This window comes from Homo sapiens, chromosome 16, assembly GCF_000001405.40.
Source record: "Homo sapiens chromosome 16, GRCh38.p14 Primary Assembly".
NCBI classification, from domain to species: Eukaryota; Metazoa; Chordata; class Mammalia; order Primates; family Hominidae; genus Homo; species Homo sapiens.
In genome coordinates this window covers 62,852,501-62,855,349 of record NC_000016.10, presented here as the reverse complement: position 1 = coordinate 62,855,349, position 2,849 = coordinate 62,852,501, and the positions used below count along the sequence as shown (strand labels likewise).

The 2,849-nt window shown below is 37.6% G+C and overlaps 1 annotated feature.

Moving 5' to 3' along the window:
- Positions 805-2,004: an enhancer, noted in NCBI's record as "MED14-independent group 3 enhancer chr16:62887250-62888449 (GRCh37/hg19 assembly coordinates)". NCBI's record gives its function as "activates an origin of replication core promoter dependent on BRD2, BRD4, P300/CBP and CDK7 cofactors, and independent of MED14, by STARR-seq in HCT116 cells {active_cell/tissue: HCT116}" and the evidence as "EXISTENCE:reporter gene assay evidence [ECO:0000049][PMID:35650434]".

Genomic DNA, 2,849 nt, shown 5'->3' with positions numbered 1-2,849 from the left:
TTTAGAGAGTTATATTCACAGAAATGGTACGGACAGACTTTCATTTTTAAAGGATTGTTTTATCTGCTCTATGGAAAATAGATTACATGATACGGAAATTAATTCTAGGAGTTAGGATGCTATTGAAGAGATTCAGACCAGATGTAATAATAGCTTGTGTTAGAGTGGTAGTAGAAGGTATAGAAAAAGAAGATGAGAGTTTCAGATACTTATGAGGTAAACTCCAGCTGCCAGATGAGGCAAAGAGAGGGGATGAGGATGACTCCTAGTTTTCCAAATTTGCTTGTATCAGAAAAGAAGGATTAGATGGAAAAAAGTATACACATTCATAGTACCTTTATTATCACTACTAGTTGATGTCAGGGTGGCAGATGGATAACGTTTAAGAATGTTAGAAAAGAAATCGGGCATAAAATTTAAAAATAAATCAATCATCAGAGGATAATTGAAACAACACACATTGATAAATTTGTCTGGAAAAAGTGCATATAGAGTGTTTATTAATCAGGATAGGCTTTATGGCAGTAACAACTCCTAAATCTCATTGGCTTAATATAAAAAATTTTATCGTTTTTGTTTTTGCCTTTTTTGTATTTATTTGTGTGTATGTTTGTTGGGAGGGTGTGTTCTAACATCACTTATGTTACACAGTATGGATGACAGATATATTCAGCTCCATTTATCATGTCAGAGAACCACGCTGATGGAGGCTTCACTATCTTGTAGCTCGATGGATCTCTGGACTGCAAATTGGGGCAATTTCCTCCCCCAGATAATATTTGGCAATGCCAAAATATATTTTTTGTTGTCACAACTGGAGAGGATAACCCTGACTTCTAGTTGGTGTAGGCTAGAGATACTGCTAAGCCTCCTAAATTGAACAGGACACCCGCATGCCTAACCTCAACTCAGAATTACCTGCTTTAGATGTCAGTAGTATCAAAGTTGAGAAGCCCTATTGTAGCTGTGCCATCAGCATATTCTGTGATCACACAGCAGGGAAAACGACGAGTGACTCTTCAGTACTTCTTTTTGAAAATAATGTTTTTGTCCACAGTCCAGTCGCCATAAGTAGTCACATGCCCCTGCTTAGGTGCAAGGAGGATGGGGAATGGAGTGAAGTAGATGATATATTTTATAAGTACCATTGATACTAACAAGCTCTAAAGCAGCAGTTACTGCCAAGGTCTAAAGCAGTAACTATATTGTGCCATTGGCATCATGCGTTTAGGTTACGGTATGAAAGTGGCAGGGCCAAGGGCATGTCCAGGCATGAGTGTGGTCGGCACCTGATGCAGGTGGCTAGAAGAATGAATATGAGTCTGCCAAGGATTTCAGGCTGACTTCTGCCTTCAGTGAGGTATTCACTGAAACCCAGCAAAAGGCAATATATTAACCTTCCAATGTAATTTTCTCAGATATGTGTGAAGATGGAATTCATTATACTGGAAAATTGAATATTAAAGGTAATTAATGAATTTGGCAGCTCTTTTATTCTTAGCATAAGCTGGGAAAATTCTAGGGTTCACAAAATAAAGCAGGTTTGCTAGTTTCTAAGACATTACTTCAAGTGGAACTTGTGACAAGAAACTAAGAAAGCAGCTGTATTTTTTTTAGTTCCAGAAGTTTCTCAACTTCTAAAGTAAAAAAAAAAATAGAATAAATCATAATGGAATTAAAGTTATTATTCACTTTTCTGTTTTTTCTAGCAGATATTTCCTCAGAGTTAAGATCTTAATAATTGTGGTGAAAAGCATTTGCTAAAGCAGCAGAGTGTAACTGTAAAGAGAGGAAACTCTAGAGCCACTGGCTCTGCTGTCTTTTAACTGCATGTCTTTTGGCCTTAATTTCTTTATCTTTATATCTTTAAAATGTCTACACACTTCAAAGGAGGACTTTTAGAATCATTTATTTCACAGCAAAGATCCTGGCACATTCTTCATATGTAATAAACACTGCATGCTATTAGCATTATTAGTATTATTCTGATTGCTATTTTATTATTAATCCCAGATCTAACTACTCGTGTTGTTTGGAGAATGATGCAGAGCACAAAGGAAGGCTTCACTTAGACCTCAGAGGTGACACAGGAATATTTTTAGTCAAAGGTGAAAGATTTGCATCCTGCTTTTCATTTGCTTGTTTGGTTATTTTAAGTTCATGTATCAATCAGTGTCCAGAAAAAGAGAAAGAAATCACAGCAATAATTTAAACTGTGGGATGGTGTGATGAATTCAGTAGAGGGTTAAGTACTAAAAGACTCTAAGAGGTCCAGAAATTGCAAATGCAGAAAGCGGCAAATACATGTGGGCTGAGGAAAAGTGAACAAGAGCTAAGAATTTTGAAGATATTGCCCTCACTGCCATCCAAGGCTGACATTCTTCTTGAGGAGGATAAGGGTGCCACAGGAATATATGAGCTGCTGGGGTGACAAAGAAATGCCCCAAAGGGAAAGGGTCAGTGCTGGTTTATAGAAACCACTCACCAAGTGGTAAAGAAACTTCCTGTCATAGCTGCTACCTTTTGCTTATCAATCTGCTGGCTCCTGTGTTAGGAAAGCATATTGGAACCAGAGAGAGTGTCCCCATCCTCCTGCTCTTTAGTTCAGTACTGTGCCCATCAGATACCTTCTATGCACAAACCCTAACTTAGAGCTAGATGGTAAAGGAGAAATGTTTAGATTCCAATTCCAGTATTATTAGGAAGGAGCTGTAATATAATACCTGATTACTAGCACAGACAATGGTATGCTAGAGTTAGTTATACCAGCTTGGAAGAGATCATTATGTGCATTTCTTATCAGCTCCACATTCGGTGGCATCTTGTAGATAGCTTGAGATTGGCTAATA